The sequence below is a fragment of the Homo sapiens genome, chromosome 9 (assembly GCF_000001405.40).
Source record: "Homo sapiens chromosome 9, GRCh38.p14 Primary Assembly".
Lineage (NCBI taxonomy): Eukaryota > Metazoa > Chordata > Mammalia > Primates > Hominidae > Homo > Homo sapiens.
Genome location: NC_000009.12, coordinates 129,031,709 through 129,057,372, shown reverse-complemented (window position 1 = coordinate 129,057,372; position 25,664 = coordinate 129,031,709). Strand labels below are relative to the sequence as shown.

General features: G+C 51.8%; 1 protein-coding gene across 11 annotated transcripts in view, besides 2 other annotated features; it reads right to left on the bottom strand.

Moving 5' to 3' along the window:
• The window catches only part of MIGA2 (mitoguardin 2), a 35,457-nt gene extending 14,710 nt beyond the window's left edge, over positions 1-20,747 (bottom strand). For 5 of the 11 annotated variants that reach the window (NR_138423.2, NR_138425.2, NR_138424.2 and 2 more), the window contains exons 1-6: positions 20,692-20,747; positions 16,683-16,921; positions 14,859-15,069; positions 8,834-8,946; positions 7,875-7,992; positions 7,410-7,546 (exon numbers count right to left, since the gene is read on the bottom strand). Coding sequence is in view for 5 of the 11 variants with exons in the window: in NM_001329990.2 (NP_001316919.1) it covers positions 7,410-7,546; positions 7,875-7,992; positions 8,834-8,946; positions 14,859-15,069; positions 16,683-16,778 (675 nt within the window). In the remaining 6 variants the exon portion in view is untranslated. Of the gene's footprint in view, positions 1-5,952; positions 6,074-7,409; positions 7,547-7,874; positions 7,993-8,833; positions 8,947-14,858; positions 15,070-16,682; positions 16,922-20,356; positions 20,440-20,691 lie in introns of those variants that run through there. The other 6 variants (XR_007061362.1, NM_032809.4, XM_047423975.1 and 3 more) reach the window with 3 other exon arrangements.
• Positions 20,163-20,292: an enhancer, noted in NCBI's record as "active region_29101". NCBI's record gives its function as "activates an Ori minimal core promoter by ATAC-STARR-seq in GM12878 lymphoblastoid cells {active_cell/tissue: GM12878}" and the evidence as "EXISTENCE:reporter gene assay evidence [ECO:0000049][PMID:35858748]".
• Positions 20,633-20,762: a silencer, noted in NCBI's record as "silent region_20358". NCBI's record gives its function as "represses an Ori minimal core promoter by ATAC-STARR-seq in GM12878 lymphoblastoid cells {active_cell/tissue: GM12878}" and the evidence as "EXISTENCE:reporter gene assay evidence [ECO:0000049][PMID:35858748]".

Genomic DNA, 25,664 nt, shown 5'->3' with positions numbered 1-25,664 from the left:
GCAGTGAGCCGAGATCGAGAGCCACTGCACTCCAGCCTGGGCAACAGAGCGAGACTCCATCTCAACAACAACAACAACAAAATTTATATATATAAAATACACATATATATTTAATTTTAAAAAAGAAAATCATTGAGGAGAAAGGATATCTGCCTGAATAGGTTTCTAATGCAAATGAAAGTGCCCTATTCTGGAAAAAAAATGCCACAAAGGACATTTATTAGTATGGAAGAGAAGTGAGCACTAGATTTAAGGCAGGAAGGTATAGACTAACTCTACTGTTTTTTGCAAATGCAGTCAGGATTTTCATCAGGACTGTCCTTTCTTTTTTTCTTTTTTGAGATGGGGTCTCGTTCTGTTGCCCAGGCTGGAATGCAGTGGCATGATCTCGGTTCACTGCAACTTCCAACTCCCAGGTTCAAGCAATTCTCCCACCTCACCCTCCTGAGTACTTGGGACCATAGGCACGTACCGCCACACCCGGCTAATTTTTGTATTTTTAGTAAAGGTGGGGTTTCACCATGTTGCCCAGGCTGGTTTTGAACTCCTGAGCTCAGCTGGGTGCAGTGGCTCATGCCTGTAATCCCAGCACTTTGGGGGGCGAGGCGGGCAGATCACTTGAGGTCAGGAGTTCGAGACCAGCCTGGTCTACTTGGTGAAAACCCGTCTCTACTAAAAACACAAAAATTAGCTGGGCTTGGTGGTGTGCGCCTGTAATTCCAGCGACTTGGGAGACTGAGGCAGGAGAATCGCTTGAACCCAGGAAGTGGAGGTAGCAGTGAGCCGAGATTGTGCCACTGCACTTCAGCCTGGGCAACAGAGCAGGAGTCCGTCTTAAAAAAAAAAAAAAAAGTCATTATTACAGTATTTATTCTAAAAGCTACCCTTACTGGTGGCCACCATGGGCCAGTCTTCTGTGACGTGCATTGCCTACTGTAGTTCTTTAAGTTATCCCTGAGATCTTAGGAGAAAGACACTCTTATTTCCCTTGACAGACAGAGAAACTAAGACAAGGCTCGGAAGGGGGAATTATTTCCCTGAGGTCACAGTGTAGAACTAGTGGTGCCACAAACTGAATACAGGTGTCTGTGGCTCTAGAGCAGTGCTGTCCAGTGGAAAGCCACGTGCAACATTTAATGTTTGCTACAGACCACAATAAATAGCACAAAGTAATGGGCAAAATTAATTTTAATAATACACATGTGACCCTTGAACAACATAAGTTTTTTTTTTTTTTTTTTTTCTTGAGACAGGGTCTTGCTCTGTTGCCCATGCTACAGTGCAGTGATGAGATCATGGGCTCAGGCAATCCTCCCAACTCAGCCTCCTGAGTAGCTGGGGCTACAGGTGCCCACCACCACGCTCGGCAAATATTTTTGTATTTATTGTAGAGACAGGATCTCACCATGTTGCCCAGGCTGGTCTTGAATTCCTAGACTCAAGTGATCCTCCCACCTTGGTCTCCTAAGTGTTGGGACTACAGGTGTGAGCTACTGCACCCGGCCAAATTTTTTTTTTTTTTTTCAGATGGAGTCTGGCTCTGTCGCCCAGGCTGGAGTGCAGTGGTGCAATCTCAGCTCACTGCAGGCTCCGCCTCCCAGGTTCATGCCATTCTCCTGCCTCAGCCTCCTGAGTAGCTGGGACTACAGGTGCCCGCCACTACGCCCGGCTAATTTTTTGTATTTTTAGTAGAGACGGGGTTTCACTGTGTTAGCCAGGATGGTCTTGATCTCCTGACCTCGTGATCGCCCACCTCATCCTCCCAAAGTGCTGGGATTACAGGCGTGAGCCACCGCGCGAGGCCCCTGGCCAGATATTTTTCAATAAGTATATAGAAGAATTTTTTGGAAATTTATGACAATTTGAAAAACCTCAGAGATGAACCCACTTAGCCTAGAGATACTGAAAAAATTATGAAAAAGATACGTCACAAATACATAAAATATATGTAGATACTAGTCTTTATCATTTACTACCATAAAATATACACAAATTGGCTGGGCACAGCGGCTCACACTTGTAATCCCAGCACTTTGGGAGGCCGAGGCAGGTGGATCACCTGAGGTCAGGAGTTCAAGACCAGCCTAGCCAACACGCAGAAACCCCGTCTCTACTAAAAATATAAAAATTAGCTGGGCATAGTGGCTGGCACCTGTAATCCCAGCTACTCAGGAGGCTGAGGCAGGAGAATGGTATGAACTCAGGAGGCAGAGCTTGCAGTGAGCCAAGATCGCGCCACTGAACTCCAGCCTGGGCGACAGAGCGAGACTCCATCTCAAAAAAAAAAAAAAAGAAAAGAAAAAAAATACAAAAATTAGCCAGGCGTGGTGACGTGCGCCTGTAATCCCAGCTACTTAGGAGGTTGAGGCAGGAGAATCGTTTGAACCTGGGGGGTGGAGGTTGTGGTGAGCCGAGATTGTGCCACTGCACGCCAGCCAGGGCGACAGAGCGAGACTCCGTCTTAAAAAAAAGTTAAACATGGAATTATCATGTGATCCCCGCAATTTCACTCCTAGGTATATACCCAAGAGAAATGAAAACATATGTCCACACAAAAACCTGTACATGAATGTTCACAGCAGCATTATTCATAAGAGCCAAAAAATGGAAGCAACCCAAATATCTACCAACTGATGAACAAATAAACAAAATGTGGTCCATCTATACAACAGAAACAAAACAGTGATTCATGCTGCAACACAGATGAACCTTGGAAGCACTCTGCTATGTGAAAGGAGGCAGTCGCAAAAGGCCACATATTCTGTGATCCCATTTCTAGAAACGTCCGTGATAGGCAAATCCAGATGTAGAGAAAATAGATTTGTGGTTGCCTAGAGCTGGGGGGAAATGAAGGAATGTGAAGGGAATGGCCAAAGTACATGGGGTTTCTTTGTTGTTGTTTCTTTGTTGTTGTTGAGACAGGGTCTCACTCTATTGCAGAGGCTGGAATGCAGTGGCACAATCATGGCTTACTGCAGCCTTGACCTTCTGGGCTCAAGGGATCCTACTGCCTCAGCCTCCTGAGTAGCTGGGACTACCACATGGTGTGCGCCACCATGCCCAACTAACTTTTTAATTTTTTGCAGAGATGGGCTCTCACTATGCTGCCCAGGCTGGTCTTGAATTTCTGGGCTCAAGAAATTTTCCTCCACCTCGGCCTTCCAAAGCACTGGGATTACAGGTATGAGCCACCATGCTGGACCAGGGGTTTCTTATTGGGATAAAAATGCTCCAAAACTGATTGTGATAATAGATACACAATTTTGTGAATATACCAAAAGCTACTCAATTGTACAGTTTAGATGCTATGTGAATTATATCTTTTCTTTTTCTTTTTGTAGAGACAGGGTTGCCCAAGCTGGAGTGCAGTGGCACAATCATAGCTCACTGCAGCCTTGAACTCCTGGGCTCAGGTGATCCTCCCACCTCAGCCTCCCGAGTAGCTGGGACCACAGGAACATGCCATGACACCCAGCTAATTGGTCACGCCACTGCACTCCAGCCTGGGCAGCAGAGTAAGACCCCGTCTCAAGAAAAAATTTTTTTGAGACAGAGTCTCACTATGTTGCCCAGGTTGGTCTTGAACTTCTCCCTCACTGGCTCAAACAATCCTCCCACCTCAGCTTTCCAAAGTATTGGAATTACAAGTGTAAGCCACTGTGCCCAGCCTATATTTCAATAAAACTGTTTAAAAATTATAGCAATAGGCCAGGCGCAGTGGCTCATGCCTGTAATCTCAGCACGTTGCGAGGCCGAGGCGGGCGGATCACCTGAGGTCAGGAGATAGAAACCAGCCTGGCCAACATGGTGAAACTCCATCTCTACTAAAAATACAAAAAAAATTAGCCGGGCGTGGTGACACATGCCTGTAATCCAAACTACTCGGGAGGCTGAGGCAGGAGAATCGCTTGAACCTGGGAGACAGAAGTTGCAGTGAGCCAAGATTGCGCCACTGCACTCCAGCCTGGGCAACAAAAGCGAAACTCCGTCTCAAAAAAAAAAAAAATTATAGCAATAGACAGAAAAAAATGCCTGAAGGAATAGAAAGTGGTGATGCCTGGATGAAGGGCTGCAGGCACCCCTTGTAGGATTGTAAGGTTGTAGGCGTCCTGGCATGTAGATATGCCACAGATCATTAACTGAGCACCTACTATGGACCAGGCCTGAACAGCTGGTGCTGGCGCCCCCACAGAGCGCCAGTGCTCCAGGAGGCCGAGGGTGCCACACCACACAACCATGGGCTGTCTGATCAGAGTCTGGGATCAGACTATTTTACACCCCCTTCTCTTTCCTATTTCTGTACTTTTCATTATTTGATAAGGAATATGTAATTGCTTTCACAACAAGGAAAACAATGCAAATTCTATCATTTTCAGATATAGTTTTTAGCAAGAAATACAATTTGGGAAATAAAGCTACCTCCCTTGAGTCCCCCTCACCAACACACTCCTACAGGTGCCCGTTCCCTGCCGACTCGCAGACAGGACCTGACGCAGCTGCAACTGCAGGCACTCAAGGGTTTGAGTCACTTCAAACCTCAGGTATTTCCCTGACCTTCACATCCTGAGCTCACGCCCCAGCAGGGACAGAGAGCATGGACACCTTCAACTTGTTACCAGCTGTGCCAGACACAGCCCTCCCCTTGTTCTGCAACCTGTTTCCCAGGTCCCCCTGCCAGCTGGCTCTCGGCCAATGGGACACACGGGTAGAGGAATGAAGGCAAGGGTGAGGGAGGAATAGGCAGAGAAATCCTCCCTCCTCCTTCTACCTCCGCTGCCAAAAGTGGCCCCATCCCCTCAAATTCCTGGGCTCAACTGGTCCTCCTGCCTCGGCCTCCCAAAGTGCTGGGATTACAGGTGTGAGGCACCGTGCCTGGCCACAAAAATTTAAATTTTAGCCTTTTAACTTCATTTTCCTTTCCTGATATTGCAATAATAAATATTCACTGTAGGCTGGGTGTGGTGGCTCAAGCCTGTAATCCCAGCACTTTGGGAGGCCGAGGCGGGTGGATCACTTGAAGTTAGGAGTTCGAGACCACCCTGGCCAACATGGTAAAACCCCATCTCTACTAAAAATACAAAAATTAGCCGGGCGTGCTGGCAGGCACCTCTGACTCTGGCTTCTCAGGAGGCTGAGACAGAATCGCTTGAACCCAGGAGGTGGAGGCTGCAGTGAGCCAAGATCACGCCACTGCACTCCAGCCTGGAAAACAGAGTGAGGCCACACCTTAAAAATAAATAAATTACAGGCTGGGCGCGGTGGCTCACGCCTATAATCCCAGCACTTTGGGAGGCCGAGGCGGGCGGATCACGAGGTCAGGAGATCAAGCCCATCCTGGCTAACACAGTGAAACCCTGTCTCTGCTAAAAATACAAAAAAATTAGCTGGGCGTGGTGGTAGGCACCTGTAGTCCCAGCTACTCCAGAGGCTGAGGCAGGAGAGTGGCGTGAACCCAGGAGGCAGAGCTTGCAGTGAGTCGAGATCGCACCACTGGACACCAGCCTGGGCAACAGAGTGAGACTCCGTCTCTAATTAATTAATTAATTAATTAATTAATTACATCCTGGCTAACATGGTGAAACCCCGTCTCTACTAAAAAATACAAAAAATTAGCCGGGCATGGTGGCAGGCACCTGTAGTCCCAGCTACTGGGGAGGCTGAGGCAAGAGAATGGCGTAAACCTGGGAGGCAGAGCTTGCAGTGAGCCGAGATCACGCCACTGCACCTCCAGCCTGGGCGGCAGAGCAAGACTCCGTCTTAAAAAAAAATAATAAAATAATAAATAAATAAATAAATAAGCCAGGCACGGTGGCTCACGCCTGTAATCCCAGCACTTTGGGAGGCCAAGGCGGGCGGATCATGAGGTCAAGAGATGGAGATCATTCTGGCCAACATGGTGAAACCCCGTCTCTACTAAAAATACAAAAATTAGCTGGGCGTGGTGGTGCACACCTGTAATCCCAGCTACTTGGGAGGCTGAGGCAGGAGAATCTCTTGAACCCAGGAAGCGGAGGTTGCACTGAGCCGAGATCGCGCCACTGCACTCCAGCCTGGCAACAGAGTGAGACTCCGTCTCCAAAAAAAAAAATAAATAAATAAATAAATAAATAAATAAATAATTCACTGTTGAAAACTTGGATGTTGCCCAAAAAGTCCCCAAAAAAGTGTATTAAAGAAAAAAAAGCCCAGGCGCGGTAGCTCACGCCTGTAATCCCAGCACTTTGGGAGGCCGAGGCAGGCAGATCACCTGAGGTCAAGATCACCTGAGGTCAGGAGTTCGAGACCAGCCTGACCAATACGATGAAACCCCATCTCTACTAAAAATACAAAAATTAGCCACATGGGGTGGCATGCGCCTATAATCCCAGCTACTTGGGAGGCTGAGACAGAAGAATCGCTTAAACCCGGGAGGCGGAGGTTGCAGTGAGCCAAGATCGCACCATTGCACTCCAGCCTGGGCAACAAGAGCGAAACTCTGTCTCAAAGGAAAAAAAAAAAGAAAAAAAGGGTGCAGTGGCTCACACCTGTAATCTCACCACTTTGGGAAGCCAAGGCAGGCGGATCACGAGGTCAAGAGTTCAAGACCAGCCTGGCCAATGTGGTGAAACCCCGTCTCTACTAAAAACACAAAAAATTAGCTGGGTGTGGTGGCAGGCACCTGTAATCCCAGCTACTCAGGAGGCTGAGGCAGGAGAATCACTTGAACCCAGGAGGCGGAGGTTACGGAGAGCCAAGATTGCGCCACTGCACTCCAGCCAGAGTGACAGTGCAAGACTCCATTTCAAAAAAAAAAAAAAAACAGCTGGGTACGATGGCTCACGCCTGTAATCCCAGCACTTTGGGAGGCCAGGGAGGGTGGATCATGAGGTCAAGAGTTCAAGACCAGCCTGGCCAACATGGTGAAACCCTGTCTCTACTAAAAATACAAAAATTACCTGAATGTGGTGGCGGGCGCCTATAATCCCAGCTACGCAGGAGGCTGAGGCAGGAGAATCGCTTGAACCTGGCAGGTGAAGGTTGCAGTGAGCCAAGATTGCGCCACTGCACTCCAGCCTGGCAACAGAGCGAGACTCCATCTCAAAAACAAAACAAAACAAAACAAAACAAAGGCCAGGCAATGCAGCCAACCCTCAACAGAGGCGCCTTCCCTTCCAGCCTTTCAGGACCACACGTTGCCCTTCACAGGGTCGAGGCGGGTGTGAGTCTCAGTACGGCTGTTTTTACCAAGCGCCGGGCATTGTGCTGAGCACGTGACATGAATTGTTTTGTTTCACATCAAGACACCCTCATAGAGGGAAATCAGCAGTCTCAGAGGACAGGAGACTGCCTGCCTCCCAAGGTGTGGCCGCCCCTCTCCTGTGCTGCCAACTTTATCCCATGGGCGTAGGGGGATGCAGAAGACCACCTACCTCAGACAGTGGCTCTGATGCAGTCTCTGGGTTCCGGAGGCCGTCCCTGGGCATGGGGGTGCTGCCGCTGTCCCCCCGCTGGCCCACGCTTAGTGCCTGCTCCCACTTCTGCAGAGCTTCCTCAAACAGCTCCATGCCTGAGCACAGGTGAGGCGAAAAGCGTGGGTCAGCACCTCCACAGTCTCACCCAAGAGGGGGCTCAGAACATCAAGGAGGCAGGAGGGCCTTGAAGGGCAAGAACTGGGTGGGACCGTGTGGCCTGGGCTGCTCAGGTTCCAGGCCTTCTTTCAGACCAGGTTTGTTCCTAGACACTGTCCCTTGTTCAGAAATGGCTGGAAATCACCCAGTTGGGATTTGGGGCAGGGTAGTGAGGGGCAAAGTGACCCAAGACTGGCCAAGCTCCTAGGAAGGGACTGTTCCTGCCACCCACCCTGCCCTCGAAGCTGAGGCACCTCCTGGCCACACCTTGCATGTACAGGCTCTCTGCATTGCCGTCGCTGGTGGTCAGAGACTCCTCCATCCCTCTGGCATCCCATAGTCCCGAGCACGCGGCTGTGGGGCTGGATGAGTTCACTGCCATCATCTGGGCGCCAATCAGTGCAAGAAGAAAGAGTGAAGCTTTCCCGGGCTCTCTGCAGGGCCCCCCTGAGCCCTCCTCCACTGCCTGACCATGGGCCACACGCCCCCTCCAAATGCCATCCCTGAGCTTGTTCCTAGCCACAGCGTCCACACCCTCAGAATGGCCTGGACCCACAAACTGCCTGATGGTGCTTCATAGAAAGAAGCCACCAAAGCAGGAAGGAATCCTGAGACCAACACCCAGCCCAGGAACCTGGGAATCCCTCTGAGCCCTGCTCCTGACTGCTGTATCCATCCCCTATGCCGGGGCTCCTCTACCCCTTGAACAAGAAGACAGAGAGTACCCATTCTGTGCCAGGGTCCTGCCTCTCATCCACACGAGTGGCTGGCAGCCCCAGGACAAGAACCAGCTCTTGCTTGCCCCTGTGCCAGCCTGGCTCATAGCTGGGACTCTGCTTGCTGGATGAGTGAATGAACCAAAAGCCACACCCCAGAAGAAGCCAAGCTTCTGCCTTGTTTATCTCTACACCTCCAGTGCCTGACAGAGTCCCTGGTATAACGCAGGTGCTTGTCAGTGGCTGATGAATGAATAACCTGCACTTTCACAGGTACAGGTCTCCCCAGGAGACCATCAGTTTCTCTCCTCTGCACCAGCCCACCTTTCTCCCACCAACACCTGGCACAGTGAGTGATTAGGGACAATCCCTGAAAGCCCGCGTGGGTGGAGGAGTGAGAGAGAGAATGAATGAATGGACTCTACCAGTCTATAAGCTTGCTGAGGGCAGAGTCCTCAGCAGGGGTAAGCCCGGACCTGGAGCCCTGGAGCCCTGGCACCTGCTGCTCACCGAGGCCACACTGTGGGAGGAGCCCGAGTGCTTGCTGGGCTCAATGGAAGAGATGCCACTCAGGGTGTCGTTGCTCTTGCTGCTGGGGCTCTGGACTCTCCGGCTGGAGTATCCTGTGAGGAGCAGAAGGGCAGGCGTCACACAGGCATCCCCTGTGGCCTTTACACGGGCTGCCCCCACTCTGGACCACCTTCCCCTTCTTCCTCATCTGGGAATCGGTCCCGACCTTCTAAGTCAGGGGAACAGAGGGGCCCCAAGGGCGTGCACTCAGGAGAAAAGCGCGGGGCCCTCCATGTCCTGCTCATGACCACATCCCTGCCATATCCCTGCCACAGGGCACAGGGCCAGGCCGAGGAGAGGAGTCCCGATCTGCCAGATAAGCCAAGAATGAGGTCCATCTGCTTTCCCGCCTCCTTGCTTAGCCTTCTCTGGGCTGCTGATTGAGAGAATGGTTTAGAATTCTCCTTGCAAAAGAGATGTGAGACGACAACTTTTAAAAATATACAAAAGGCCGGGCACGGTGGCTCACACCTATAATCCCAGCACTTTGGGAGGCCGAGATGGGGGAGGACTGCTTGAGCCCAGGAGTTCAAGACCAGCCTGGGCAACATGGCGAAACCCTGTCTCAACAAAAAATACAAAAATTAGCCAAGTGTGGTGGCGTGGCCTGCAGCCCCAGCTACTTGGGAGGCTGAGGGTGGGGGATCAATTGAGCCTGGGAGGTCAAGGCTGCAGTAAGCCATGATCGCAATACTTCATTCCAGACTGGGAAGCAGAGTGAGACCCTGTCTCAAATATATATACATATATATATATAAATTTTTTTAGGATGGGCTGGGTGGATCATGTCTGTAATCCTAGCACTTTGGGAGGCCGAGGTGGGTGGATCACTTGAGGTCAGGAGTTCGAGATCAGCCTGGCCAACAAGGTAAAACCCCATCTATAATAAAAATACACAAATTAGCCAGATGGGGTGGCGCACGCCTGTAATCCCAGCTACTCAGGAGGCTGAGGCAGGAGAATCGCTTGAACCTGGGACACGGAGGTTGCAGTGAGCCAAGACTGTGCCACTGCACTCCAGCCTGGGCAACAGAGCAAGAATGTCTCAAAAAAAAAAATTTAATGAAATGCACCAAAGGTTATTTTTTAAAATAGAGACAGGGCCGGGCACAGTGGCTCACACCTGTAATCCCAGCACTTTGGGAGGCTGAGGTCAGCAGATCACATGAGATTAGGAGTTCGAGAGAAGCCTGGCCCACGTGGTGAAAGCCTGTCTCTACTAAAAACACAAAAAATTAGCCAGGTATGGTGGCACCTGTTTGTAATCCCAGCTACTTGGTAGGCTGAGGAGGAGAATCCTTGAACCCGGGAGGCAGAGGTTGCAGTGAGCCAAGATTGCGCCATTCCACTCCAGCCTGGGCGACAGGGTGAGACTCTGTCTCAAAAATACAAAACAAAATAGCCTGGGCACAGTGGCTCATGCCTGTAATCCTAGTACTTTGGGAGGCCGAGGTGGGTGGATCACCTGAGGTCAGGGGTTCAAGACCAGCCTGGCCAACATGGAGAAACCCCGTCACTACTAAAAATACAAAAATTAGCCAGGTGTGGTGGCACACGCCTGTAATCCCAGCTACTTGGTAGGATGAGGCAGGAGAATCGCTTGATCCTGGGAGGTGGACGTTGCAATGAGCTGAAATTGTGCCACTGCATTCCAACCTGGGCAACAGAGTGAGACTGTCTCAAAAAAAAAAAGTAAATAAAAATTAAAAAATAATAATAAAATAAAACAAAGAAAGCCGGGTGTGGTGGCACGCACCTGTAATCCCAACTTTTGGGAGAACGAAGTGGGCAGATCACCTGATGTCAGGAGTTTGAGACCAGCCTGGTCAAAATGGTGAAACCCTGTCTCTAGTAAAAACATAAAATTAGCCAGGCATGGTAGCACTCCCAGCTACTCGGGAGGCTGAAGCATGAGAACTGCTTGAATCTGGAAGGCGGAGGTTGCAGTGAGCCAAGATTGTGCCACTGCCCTCTGCCCTAGGCGACAGGGCAAGACTCTGTCTCCAAAAAAAAAAAAAAACAGAGACAGGGCCTCCACATACCACCCAGGCTGGTCTCAAACTCCTGGGCTCAAGTGATCCACCTGCCCCAAAGTACTGGGATTACAGGTACAAGCCACTATACATGGCCAATATTTTGTTAGAAGTGAGAAAAGTAGGGAAGGGAAAATAAGGTGAAATGAGAGCAGGCAGAGTGGGACAGGGCACAGAAGCTAAACGCTGTGCAGATGACTCCAGGTTTCCCAGGACAGACACAAAATTAGGCTGCCTGAGTGTCTCTCAGGGTCCTCTTCCATATTAGTCTCAAGACTTCTTGTTCCAATTCTAGGCCGGGCGCAGTGGCTCACACCTGTAATCCCAGCAATTTGGGAGGCTGAGGCGGGCAAATCAGGAGGTCAAGAGATGGAGACCATCCTGGCCAATATGGTGAAACCCTGTCTCTACTAAAAACACAAAAAATTAGCTGGGCGTGGTGGCACGCACCTGTAGTCCCAGCTACTCAGGAGGCTGAGGCAGGAGAATTGCTTGAACCCGGGAGGCGGAGGTTGCAGTGAGCCAAGATGGCACCACTGCACTCCAGCCTGGCGACAGAGCAAGACTCCGTCTAAAAAAAAACCAAAAAAAAAAAAACAAAACACTTATTTTTCCAATTCTAAAGATAATACTTTCCTTTTGCAACAATAATACACAATTAAAATTTATTTTCACAGGAGACTTTTGCTTCTTATTTTTTTAACAGAGACAGCGACTCTCTATGTTGCCCAGGCTGGTCTTGAATTCCTGGCCTCAAACAATCCTCCTGCCTCCCAAATTGCTGGGATTACAGGTATGAGCCACCACACTCAGCTAATTTATGTTCTTTCTCTTTTTAAAAAAAAATTATTTATAGAGACAGGGTCTCTCTATGCTGCTCAGGCTGGTCTCAAACTCCTGGACTCAATAATTCTCCCGACTTGGCTTCCCAAAGTGCTGGGATTACAGGTGTGAGCCACCACACCCGGTCTACTTTTGCTTTTTTTTTTTTTTTTTTTTTTTTTTGAGACAGAGTCTTACTCCATAGCCCAGGCTGGAGTGCAGTGGTGTGATCTCGGCTCACTGCAACCTCTGCCTCCCGGGTTCAAGCGATCCTTCTGCTTCAGCCTCCTAAATAGCTGGGATTACAGGCATGCACCCCCATGCTTGGCTAATTTTTGTATTTTTAGTAGAGAGGGGGTTTCACCATGTTGGCCAGGCTGGTCTGGAACTGCTGTCCTCAGGTGACCCGCCCACCTCAGCCTCTCAAAGTGCTGAAATCACAGGCTACTTTTGCTTCGTTTTTTTTTTTTTTTTGAGATAGAGTCTCGCTCTGTCGCCCAGGTTGGAGTGCAGTGGCACAATCTCGGCTCACTGCAAGCTCCACCTCCATAGATGCCTGCCACCACACCCGACTAATTTTTGTATTTTTAGTAGAGACAGGGTTTCACCGTGTTGGCCAGGCTGGTCTCAAACTCCTGACCTCGGGATCCGCCTGCTTTAGCCTCCCAAAGTGCTGGGATTATAAGCATGAGCCACCGCGCCTGGCCTTACTTTTGCTTCTTAAAACAAGTTTCAGCTGGGCACGGCGGCTCACACCCATAACCCCAGCACTTTGGGGGGCCAAGGCGGGAAGATCTCTTGAGGCCAGGAGTTTGAGACCAGCCTGGCCAACACAGACCAGCCTGGCCAACACAGACCAGCCTGGCCAACATGGTGAAACCCCATCCCTACCAAAAATACAGAAATTAGCTGGGTGTGGTGGCTCATGCCTGTAATTCCAGCTACTCGGGAGGCTGAGGCAGGAGAATCGCTTAAACCCAGGGGGTGGAGGTTGCAGTGAGCCGAGACTGTGCCATTGCACTCCAGCCTGGGTGACAGAGTGAGACTGTGTTTCAAAAAAAACAAGTCTCCCAAGATGAGAACTCCTGGCCTTGCAAAGAGATCAAGACAACACTTCAATGCAGCAAACACCGGGTCTGTATTACAAGATTAACAGGAGCCGTAAGAGTTTTTACAACCACAGCAGCAGCCACAAAATAGAGCAGTGGCTACCAGAGCTGACACAGAAGGACACAGGGCATTTAGAGAGTGATACAACGATAGAACAGTTCTTTTTTTTTTTTAAGACTAGTTAAGTGTAGTAGTGAGAAGCTGGGAAAAAGAGTAGAAGAAGGGGCCAGGCACGGTGGCTCATGCCTGGCTCCCAGCACTTTGGGAGGCCAAGGCGGGTGGATCACGAGGTCAGGAGTTCGAGACCAGCCTGGCTAACATGGTGAAACCCCAACTCTACTCAAAATACAAAAATTAGCCGGGCGTGGTTTCATGCACCTGTAATCCCAGCTACTCGGGAGGCTCAGGCAGGAGAATTGCTTGAAACCGGAAGGCAGAGGCTACAGTGAGCAGAGACCAGACCACCGCACTCCAGCCTGGGAAACACAAGCGAAACTCTGTCTCAAAAAAAAAAAAGCCGGGCAGGTTGGCTCATGCCTGTAATCCCAGCACTTTGGGAGGCCGAGGCAGGCGGATCACGAGTTCAGGAGATCAAGGCCATCCTGGCTAATACAGTGAAACCCTGTCTCTACTAAAAATACAAAAAATTAGCCGGGCTTGGTGGCACGCACCTGTTGTCCCAGCTACTCCGGAGGCTGAGGCAGAAGAATCGCTTGAACCCGGGATGCAGAGGTTGCAGTGAGCCAAGATCATGCCACAGCACTCCAGCCCGGGTGACAGAGAGTGAGACTCCGTCTCAAAAAAAAAAAAGAGTAGAAAGATGGCCGGGGCCGGGTGCGGTGGCTCACACCTGTAATCCCAGGATTTTGGGAGGCTGAGGTGGGCGGATCACTTGAGCTCAGGAGTTCGAGAGCAGCCTGGCCAACGTGGCGAAATCCCGTCTCTACTAAAAATACAAAAATTAGCCAGGCATGGTGGCACGTGCCTGTAGTCCCAGCTTTTCGAGAGGCTGAAGCAGGAGAATCTCTTGAACCTAAGAGGCCGAGGCTGCAATGAACCGAGATTGTGCCACTGCCCTGCAGACTGGGTGACAGAGCAAGACTCCATCTCAAAAAAAAAAAAAAAAAAAAGAGAGAACAGAAGGAGTGTGATCTGTGACTGTGAGCAATCGACTGAGTGAACTCACTACCTTCCAACCAGCTGAATGATTCCTAACTATGGTGGTGGTCGGATGACTCTATGTGTCAAAGACACAGAATAGTATGCTAAAAAGTACGAATCTTACTGCATGCAAATTAACCCTCAAATTTTTTTTTTTTTTGAGACGGAGTCTCGCTCTGTCACCCAGGCTGGAGTGCAGTGGCGCAATCTCGGCTCACTGCAAGCTCCGCCTCCTGGGTTCACGCCATTCTCCTGCCTCAGCCTCCTGAGTAGCTGGGATTACAGGTGCCCGTCACCATGCCCGGCTAATTTTTTGTATTTTTAGTAGAGACGGGGTTTCACCGTGTTATTCAGGATGGCCTCGATCTCCTAACCTTGTGATCTGCCCGCCTCGGCTTCCCAAGGAGCTGGGATTACAGGCGTGAGCCACCGCGCCCGGCCTAAACCTCAATTTTTAAGAGAGAAGGGAATGGGAGGAATACTGCATCATTCAAGAACCACATGGCTCTTCCTGCTCCTCAGCCTGGGGAACATCCCTCTCTGGACCCAGGAGCCACATCCCCGACCCCCTCTGACCAAGGTGCTCCCAAAGGGTCCTCAGCTAATGAGAACAACCAAAACCACCTCCACCAATGGAGCATGCGCATCCAACCACATCACCCTCCAGTACAGTGACTGGAGGGAGGGACGCTACTGTCATCCCGCTCACAGATCAGGAGACCTTGGCTCTGAGACAGGAAGACACTGGCCCAATATCCCCAAGTAGAGAGTGACCCAGCTGGGATATGACCCCAGGATGTGACCTCAGGTCAGGCCTATGCCCACCACCTCACACCTACCTTTCTTCACTGAAGGGACCTTCCTGGCCAAGAGGATAGGGAGGGGCACCGTGCCCAGCTGCTCCCCTCCCATCTCGGGACCAACCTGCTTCTTCCTCCTCCGTCGCCTCTTCAGCTGGTGGGCAGCCAGGGCCAGGGCCACAGTCCCCAGGGCCGTGGCAAAGAGGACTTTCCGCAGGCCTGGCGTCAACCGTAGCTGGGAGAATGCAGACTGCAGGGAAGAGGAGACGCTGCCGGTTACACCTCCCTGGGGAAGGTCCAAGGCAGCAGGACCGCCCCAGAGCACCTCAGGGACGGGACACACACCGGCTCTCCGGCACATCTGCCGACCAGATGAGAGACTGAGAGGCAGCCACCCTAGACGGGGAAGTTGACCAGCCTCCCTGAAACACAGGCCACAAAAACATAAAGATGGCAAGATGCCAGTGCCGAGAAGGTGAGGTCTAGGGGCCAGCACCCTCAGTCATGAGCACACAAGCCGCAGTGAACAAGCACCAGCTGTGCCCGGCACTGCACTAGGACCTAGCCTGGGGTACCCATCTGAGTCCCTGTCATTTCCAGACGAGGAACCTGAGGTTCACCCACATGAAGACATATACTCAAGGTGACAGAGGCAGACATGAAACCCAGATCTGCTGACCCCCATTTCTCAGTGATGCCTCAAAGATGATGACACTCACTCACCTGCCACCCCATCTGAACAATTCCTACTGCTGCACCTCACCCTCTGCCCCCCAGGCCTGGGAGCCCCTCAGATGGGACTGTACCCCACAAGGCAGATCTTCGGTCAAGATCCCAGTCAGCCACAAACATGTGAGTTGTCAGGGAGGGCACTGACCCCTTTTACAGACTGAGTAACTGAGGTCAAGAGTTCATATAGGACCAGGTGCAGTGGCTCATGCCTATAAACCCAGCACTTTAGGAGGCCAAGGTAGGTGGATGGCTTGAGCCCAAGAGTTCAAGACCAGCCTGGGCAAAATGGCAAGGCCCTATTTCTATTACGAAAAACTTTTTTTTTTTTGAGACGGAGTCTTACCCTGTTGCCCAGGCTGGAGTGCAGTGGTGCGATCTCGACTCACTGCAACCTCCGCTTCCTGGGTTCAAGTGATCCTCCCGCCTCAGCCTCCCAAGTAGCTGGGATTACAGGCACCTGCCACCATGCCCAGCTAATTTTTTTTTTTTTGAGGCGGAGTCTCGCTCTGTCGCCCAGGCTGGAGTGTAGTGGCATGATCTCAGCTCATTGCAACCTCCGCCTCCTGGGTTCAAGCAATTCTGTCTCAGCCTCCCAAGTAGCTGGGACTACAGGTGCACACCACCATGCTTGGCTAATTTTTGTACTTTTGGTAGAGATAGCGTTTCACCATATTGGTCAGGCTGGTCTTGAACTCCTGACTTCAGGTGATCCACCTGCTTCAGCTTCCCAGAGTGCTGGGATTACAGGCATGAGCCACTGTGCCCAGCCTACCCGCCTAATTTTTGTATTTTTAGTAGAGACAGGGTTTCACCATGTTGGCCAGGCTGGTCTTGAACTCCTGACCTCAGGTGATCCGCCCGTCCCGGCCTCCCAAAGTGCTGGGATTACAGGCGTGAGCCATCGCACCCGGCCAATACAATTTTTTTAATTAATTAAAAAAAAAAGAGTTCGTATAGTCTCAGGCTAAAGAACAGGCCTGAAGCCTCAGACAACAAACCCAGTCCAAAGAGGAGACACCAGAGGTTTGGCAAAGCAAGAACGAGGGCTCAGCGTTCCTGGACACGGAGGAGCCCTTGGCTGAGCATGGAAGTGTTTCATAGACCAGAGGTACAACCCACCCTGATCCTTACCTGCCCAAACGTCGTGTACAGGAACACGGGGATCTCGGCCACCGTCATGGCCAGGGCCTGGATCATAGACGTGCCCTCGGCCCTCCGGAACGCCATGGCAGGGCCAATGCCCCAGGCAAAGTCCTCAGGGCCAAGAGCTTCCAAGGAGAACGTCTTCAACTGGTTGCCAGCTGGGTCCCAGGCACCATCCACGCCCCAGAAGGACAGGGACACACATACCAGAGGGCCCCTCCACAGAGCTAAGAGACAGATGACCAAGTCAGATAAGAGAACGTGCACACGGGAACATGCAGAAATGCACTCAAGAAGAGCGTCCATGGGGGAGGAGGCAGGAGCAAAGCTTGCCTCTGGAACCCCAGGCCTGGAATCAGGCCCCAGGCCTCTGCATCTGCCCGCCAGCAGGCAGCCCCACACCCACAGACCCTCTGCCTACCAGGGGCCCTGCGAGCGGAAACATCTCTGGCCAGCCAGCCCAGGAGAGGACCCAGAACCTGGGAGGTGGACAGGTCACTCTCAGACTTAGGGCTTTAAGCCACATTTTCTCTACCTTTTTCAACCCATGGACCATTTGCTAAGCAAAAATCTTAGACCCCAGACTGAGAATCATTGCATCTTTTTACCTCCCACAAAGTTAAGAATGTTTTCTTGCTGGGCACGGTGGCTCACGCCTGTAATCCCAGCACTTTGGAAGGCCGAGATGGGTGGATCACCTGAGGTCGGGAGTTTGAGACCAGCCTGGCCAATATGGTGAAACCCCATCTCTACTAAAAAACACAAAAATCAGCTGGGTGTGGTGGCACGCACCTGTAATCCCAGCTACTCAAGAGGCTGAAGCAGGAGAACCGGCTTGAACCTGGGAGGTGGAGGTGGCAGTGAGCCAAGATGGGGCCACTGCGCTCCAGCCTGGGCAAGAAGAGCAAAACTCAGTCTCAAACAAACAAACAAACAAACAAACAAACAAAAAACTAGCTGGGCGTGGTGGTGCACACCTGTAACCCCAGCTACTCAGGAGGCTGAGGCAGAAGAATCGCTTGAACCCGGGAAGCAGAGGTTGCAGTGAGCTGAGATCACAACACTGCACTCCAGCCTGGGCTACAGAGCAAAACTCTGTCTCAAAAAATAATAATAATAATAATAAAATAAAGAAGCTGGGCACAGTGGCTTACGCCTATAATCCCAGCACTTTGGGAGGCCGAGGAGGGAGGATCACAAGGTCAGGAGATCAAGATCATCCTGGCTAACACAGTGAAACCCCATCTCTACTAAAAATACAAAAAATTAGCCGGGCGTTGTAGCGGGCACCTGTAATCACAGCTACGCGGAAGGCTGAGGCAGGAGAATGGCATGAACCCAGGAGGCGGAGCTTGCAGGGAGCCAAGATCGCGCCACTGCACTCCAGCCTGGGCAATAGAGTGAGACTCCATCTCAAAAAATAAATAAATAAAAAACAAAAAAATAAAATAAAATAAAACACACACACACACACACACACACACACACACACACACACACACAAACAAAGAGCTACTCCACGCTACGTATTTTGTGCTGCATTCTTTACATCCATCATCTCACTGAATCATTAGAATTTTGTGAGGTTGGCTGGGGTGGCTCATGCCTGTAATCCCAGCACTTTGGAAGGCTGAGGCGGGCGGATCACCTGAAGTCAGGACTTCCAGACTGGCCTGGTCAACATGGTGAAACCCCGTCTCTACTAAAAATACAAAAATTAGCCAGTGTGGTGGCACGTGCCTGTAATCCCAGCTACTTGGGAGGCTGAGGCAGGAGAATCGCCTGAATCCAGGAGGCAGAGGTTGCAGTGAGCCTAGATCGCGCCACTGCACTTCAGTCTGGGTGACAGAGCGAGACTCTGCCACAAAAAAAAAAAAAAAAAAAAAAAAGACAAACAAAAAAAAAGGATTATGTGAAGTTGATGCCACCCACCTTCCCCCCAGCCTCACCTCTGGTTTCCAATGAGGAAACTGAATCTCAGACAAGCTAAGTCAGGAGTCCAAAGTCACACAGCTGGTACTTGGTAGAGTCAGACTTTGTGCTCAGTACAATGCTTTTGCTAAATTTGACATGCAGCAGGAAGTAGCAAGCCCCAGCAGACCACAGAGTACTGGGCAGCTTTCCCCTGGACCTTGGGAGATACTCCCCTCCCTGCCAGGGTACCCCATTGCCCCTTCCCAAGGCCAGGAAATAAGTGGCTTGATCACACCTAGCCTGGACCCCAAGACCCGGCAGGGTCCTCCCCCACTTCCAGCTCCAAGCCCAAGGATGCCTTCAAGGTCTCCCGGGACCTCAAGCGGAAGGAACACACAAGCCAGGACAGACCCTGTCTCCCTGGGATGGCCGCCAAAGTCACTGGGCCAGCAGAAGAAACAGCTTCTCCCCAGTGAGTGGGAAGGACTGAGGAGCCTGTCAGTCTCGCTCTAGGGCTGGTGGGGGTGTGTGAGAGGGCAGGGCAGGCTAAGGAAGCTTCCAGGTTGTCAGGGGTAGAGACATCTGCCCAGGAGGCTGTGAATTGAGCTACGTGAGCTGCAGTGGTCAGGACCTAGGTTAATACTGTAAGCCACGTCCCCCTACCCTTCACCCCAACCCCAGGCTGGCTCAGGTCTCAGAAAGAGGGAAGACAAGAACATCAGAGGGCCAGCAGCTACTATTTCCCAAGCTCTTATTCCAGGCCAGATCCAGAACAGGCTCTCCACGACAGGCTTTGGGTCCAGTCCTCTCAGAACCCTCGCAATGGCCAATGTTTATCTCAAGGATGGGGAAACGCGGAGGCTCTGAGATGAGGCAGCCTGCCTGAGGTCACCGAGTACTAAGCGGCCAAGCTCTGGGGGATCTCAAGGCTGTGGCAGGGTTTCCCAGCTTCTGCCTGCTACAACTGCCACTGCTCCTTCCAGGCCACAACTGTAGGACTTCTGGGCCCCCAAGTGAGAAGCCCACATGGTGTTAAAGATGAGCCTGAACAAATAAACGCTACAGGGGTGACTGAGGCCCACTGTTTGCGGGAGAGTCCAGAGCAGCCCCTGCTGTCCCCACTGGGAGGCAGAGCCTGCAGGTGCGAGGTAACATCACCAGCCCCCAAGCCTGCTTCACTCCAGGGATGGATCCAAATCCAGTCAACCCACACTGTGTCCGTCCCCCTGGCACCCTGTCCGTCCTCCAGGGCCTAAGCTGAGACCCCTCCACCTCCTCTCCACAATGAAAAGCCCACGGCAAGGTCCCCTACCAAATGGACACTTCTACTGCTGTGTAGGGCCTGGCCCCACTTGGGCAGCCATCTCTTGTGCCCTACAATCTTAGGCGGACACCTCCTCATTCCACCGTCACCACAGCACTTACAGCACCCTCAGCCTGGGTGCCTAAGCATATCATCCTACGCGCCTCCTCCCCTGCGCTAGACCACCCCACTAATGACTCTGGCCTGTGCACTCACTCATTCCGTCTGGACCCCAACAACGTCCCCGACTCCCTTGAGCCACTCTGCCCAGTCTCCTATTCACCCCATGCCGGACCCCTCAATAGTCCCACCATGCCGGGCACCGGGCATCCCCGCGTTGGACCTCAGCAATATCCCCGTCTTCAGAAATTGCTCACTCCACCCCAGGCATCTTGGGCAGCCCCTTCTTCTCTTGCCCCCACCCCGGAATATCATTGAAACTCACCCAGGTACCCTCTGGCGCCGCTCACGGCCCGCACGCCTGCTCCTTCCATCCCGGGTGCTCTCCCCGCCTCGGATCGGGTACCTGCGCGCCTGCTCCAATCCCCGCCACGTTCCAGGCCCGGGCATCACCTCCCTGACCCAAGTACCTTCTCGTTCCGCTCCCAAGCAAGGCACCCTCTCGCACCGTCCCCGGCCCGGGTACCCACTCATTCCAACCCCGACACCTTCCTGGTCCTGTTGGGCCCGGACACCTGCGCCTACTCGGTCCTCCGCTCAAGTCCCGGCCCTGCCGCGCTGCCCGCCCGCCTTGGGGGCTCGGCCGGGGCCGATACTCACCCGGGATGCCATCGCTGCGGAAGGGCAGCGTCTCCTTCCCCGGCGGCTGCGCAACCAAACCGGCCGCCCGGGGGCGTGGCCTAGCGCCAAGCCCCCACCCTCTTCTGGCCAATGAGCATCGCTGAGTCTCTCAGGGCCGCCGCAGCCTCTGGCCAATTAGGCGGGTCATGTGACCAAGCTTATATTCCGCCTCTCCCGCCCTCTTCCCCTCCTCCTAGTGCGGTTGAAGCGCGAAAGTGGTCTCTTCTCTTCTACTATTGGTCATTCAGATTAGATCGACATGGGCGGCTGGGTGGGGCGGGGCCATTCTTAAAGGGGCTGAAGCGGAGCAGTCAGACCTCCAAGGGGCTTTCTTGGAGTACGCCAAAGCAGGCTGAGCCCTCGTATTAGGATCCTCTATTCTTGTTCCACACAAGGACAAATCCTTCCCACTCTCCAAGCGCCCATTTTCAAATACTACCGCCCCTGACTTCCCGCAGCATGCTCTTATACTGTCGCCACTCTCCCCCTTGTTCTGGAGTTGTTTGCAAAAGTGCCAGGTCTCGCCGCTAGACAGTGTCTCTCTGAGAGCTGGAGTCAAGGGGTCTTCAGTTCTGGCCACCTATCTGGGTCTTACACTAAATACCAGGATTGAGATCAGGCCGACCTGAGATAGAATCAAGTGTTGCCACTTCAGCTCTCTAGAGCTTACCCCTCTATGAAATAGGGATGAGGCCGGGCGCGGTGGCTCACGCCTGTAATCCTAGCAGTTTGGGAGGCCGAGGTGGGTGGATCACGAGGTCAGGAGTTCGAGACCAGCCTGGCCAACCTGGTGAAACCCTGTCTCCACTAAAGATTAAAAAAAAAAATTAGCCAAGCTTGGTAGCACACACCTGTAATCCCAGCTACTCAGGAGGCTGAGGCAGGAGAATCTCTTGAACCCGGGAGGCAGAGGTTGCAGTGAGCTGAGATCCACCCATTGCACTCCAACCTGGGCCAAAGGGCGAGACTCCGTCTCAAAAAGAAAAAAAGAAATAGGGATAAAATCTTCCCTTTCCCAAATCATAGGGCTTTGGTGAGGATGGAAAGAGGACGGTGTATCAGCCCTTCCATAACTGCGAAGAGCTGGGCACAACTACGTTTTAAAATTGTAATCGTCGGCCGGTAGCAGTGGCTCATGCCTCTATTCCCAGCACTTTGGGAGGCTGAGGTGAGTGGATCACATGAGGTCAGGAGTTCGAGACCAGCCTGGCCAAAATGGTGAAAACCGGTCTCTACTAAAAATAAAAAAGCTAGCTGGGCGTGGTGGCACACACCTATAATCCCAGCTACTTGGGAGGCTGAGGCAGGAGAATTGCTTGAGCCGGGAGGAGGAGATTGCAGTTAACCAAGATCACGCCACTGCACTCCAGCCTGGGCAACAGAGCCAGACTCCATCTCAAAAAAAAAAAAAAAAAAAAAGCCCGGGAGCAGTGGCTCACGCCTGTAATCCCAGCACTTTGAGAGGCCAAGGCAGGTGGATCATGAGGTCAGGAGATCGAGACAATCCTGCCCAACATGGTGAAACCCCATCTTTACTAAAAATATAAAAATTAGCCCAGCATTGTGGCGTGTGCCTGTAGTCCCAGCTATTCAGGAGGCTGAGGCAGCAGAATCGCTTGAAACTGGGAGGTGGAGGTTGCAGTGAGCCGAGATTGCGCCACTGCACTCCAACCTGGGTGACAGAGCAAGACTCCATTTCAAAAAAAAAAAAAAAGGAAAATTACAATTGTCGGTAAAGCCACATTCCTTCATTCATTCAACTAATTAAGTGTGCCAATCCTTTGGCTGGACATGGGAGCTCAGTGGTGGACAAGAGACAGGTATGTGGTGGCACCAGGGAGCTCATTGTCTGGGGAGCAGATACTTAATCACAATCCCCTGTGATGGTTACTCTAATGGGGGAATGTGGGATACCAAGGAGATACCTGGGCTTGCCTGGGGAGGTGAAGGGCTCCAGAAAGAAAAGGGGTCCAAGGCCGGATGTGGTGGCTCACGCCTGTAATCCCAGCACTTTGAGAGGCCGAGGCGGGCAGATCACCAGGTCAGGAGTTCGAGACCAGCCAGACCAACATGATGAAATTAGCCAGGGGTGGTGGCATGCGCCTGTAATCCCAGCTACTCAGGAGGCTGAGGCAGGAGAATCATCTCTTGAACCCGGGAGGCGGAGGTTGCAGTGAGCCGAGATGGCGCCACTGCATTCCGAGACTCCGTGGGGAGGGGAGGGAAGGGGAAGGCAAGGGAGGGGACGGGAGGGGAGGGTGGTCCAAACAGCGGATGCCCAGTGCCCGGCATGGTGGGACTGGTGAGAGGTCTGGCATGGGGTGAATAGGAGACTGGGCAGAGTGGCTAAAGGGAGTCGGGGATGTTGTTGGGGTCCAGGCGGAATGAGTGCACAGGCCAGAGTCATTAGTGGGGTTGTCTGGCACAGGGGAGGAGGCGCATGGGATGATAAGCTTAGACACCCAGGCTGAGGGTGCTGTAAGTACTGTGGTAACTTTGGAATATAAAATTAGCCGGGGGTGGTGGTACCTGCCCCCAAATACTTGGGAGGCTGAGGCAGGAGAATCGCTTGAACTCAGGAGGTGGAGGTTGCAGTGAGCCAAGATCGTCATGCCATTGCACACCAGCCTGGACAACAAGAGTGAAACTCCGTCTCAAAAAAAAAAAAAAGGGTGGGGGGGGGGCCAAGGGCCAGGCACGGTGGCTCATGCCTGTAATCCCAGCACTTTAGGAGGCTAAGGCGGGCGGATCACCTGAGGTTGGGAGTCGGAGACCAGCCTGACCAACATGGAGAAACCCTGTCTCTACTAAAAATACAAAAAATTAGCTGGGCATGGCGGCAGGTGCCTGTAATCCCAGCTACGCAGAAGGCTGAGGCAGGAGAATCGCTTGAACCCGGGAGGCGGAGGTTGCAGTGAGCCGAGATCGTGCCACTGCACTCCAGCCTGGTGACAGAGTGAGACTTCATCTCAAAAAAATAAATATAATAAAATAAAATAACTGTCCTCTAACTGGCAAAAGGTGTTTTGTTTTGTTTTTCTCTAGCAGCCAAATAAGCACTGGCTTCCAATGAAGGATGTATTAAATAAATAAATAAATAAATAAATAAATAAATACAAACAAGCATTGGCCTCAAGATAAGCAACACTCAAACAACTGCAGCTCCTTCAGCTCCCGGACGCTGACTAACTGAACTCCTGTTCTACTAGCCTAACTATAGCTTTCATTGGACAAAAGACTAATTTCAGTTACTCTTCTGATAAGACCAACAGCTGGGTGCGGTAGCTAATGGTTATAACCCCAACACTTTGGGAGTCTGAGGCAGGAAGATCACTGGAATCCAGGAGTTGGAGATCAGGCTGGTCAATACACAGCAAAACGCCGTCTCTATAACTTGCGGTCCCAGTTCCTTGGGAGGCTGAGGCGGGATGATCAATCGCTTGAGCCCAGGAGGTTGAGGCTGCAGTGAGCCGTGATTGTAACACTGCACTCCAGCTGGGTGGCAGAGCGAGACCCTGTCTTAAAAAAAAAAAAAAAAAAAAAGAATTAGACCACTGGCCATGGACCAGTTCTGGCCATTTTGCAGAGATTGGCCGTTGTGTGCCTTCATGTCCCTAAACAATCCTCTTGACATATAGGGCCTAATTGTAATACATCTAAATATTAATTCACCACAAAGTGAACATGGGACCACCTTGATGAATATTCATAGCACCTCCTGCAACCTGTTGAATATGTATGTTTAGTCAACCTATTCAGCATAAAGCTCCTACCACAAGTTCTCCTCCTTCCTGGAGGCGATGCAGGATTTTTCTTGACTTCTTTGTTGGACTTGCGATGGGGGTGCCCTGTCTAGGCCAGCCCGCCATGCTCAACCCTTGTGGGAGGGAGCATGTGGGCGAGCAAGTGCAGGATCCCGCTGGCTGCTCTGGGCGTGGGCAGAAGGAGGCTCCATGCAGGCCCCATGGCGGTGCCCAGGTCGGGGTGCCTGCAAACCCTGAAGCCCCAGAGGACATGTTACAGTGCTCTCTTAGCTCTGCTGTCCATGGACAGCAGTGTGTTATCAGCTCGGTAGGCTCCTTGCTTTGCCACGTGGGGTGGCTGCTCTCTGCCAGTGAGGGCAGAGGGCCAGTATGACGACCTTTTTCGGGTACCCGCACTTGGTGGGTCCTGAGCTCTCGTCTAGTGTCCAAGAAGAATGAGGTCACCTGGACACTTGAAGGATAGCAAAGGAGGAGAATTTTATTTTATTTTATTTTATTTTTATTTATTTATTTATTTTGAGACAGAGTCTTGCTCTGTCGCCCAGGCTGGAGTGCAGTGGCCTGATCTTGGCTCACTGCAACCTCTGCCTCCCAGGTTCAAGTGATTCTCCTGCCTCAGCTTCCCAAGTAGCTGGGAATACAGGCACCCACCACAACCACGCCCAGCTAATTTTTTGTATCTTTAGTTGAGACGGGGTTTCATTGTGTTAGCCAGGATGGTCTCCATCTCCTGACCTCATGATCTGCCCGCCTCGGCCTCCCAAAGTGCTGGGATTACAGGTGTGAGCCACCGCGCCAGGCGAGAATTTTATTAAGCAGTAGAAATGACTCTCAGCAGAGAGGTGAACTGGAGAGGAGATGGGACGGGCAGGTAATCTTCCCCTGAAGCCTGGCCTCTCTGGATGGCTCTTCCCTGTAGTCAAGCCATCTCCCTGAAGTTAAGCCATTTCTCCTCTGAAGTCTAGCTTCTTCACTCTGAAGTAAAGTCGCCTCTCTCTAGTCAAGCCACTTCTCTCTCCCTACCAACTGAGTCTGGGGTCTGGGGGGGGTGGGTCTTTATAGGTACAGGATGGGAGGTGGGGTGGGCTGTAGGTAGTTTTGGAAAAGGCAACATCTGATTGGTAAAAAGGCACGATTCAGAAAGAACCAATCAGGAGAGAGCAGGCAAACGGATGGATAGAAATTCTC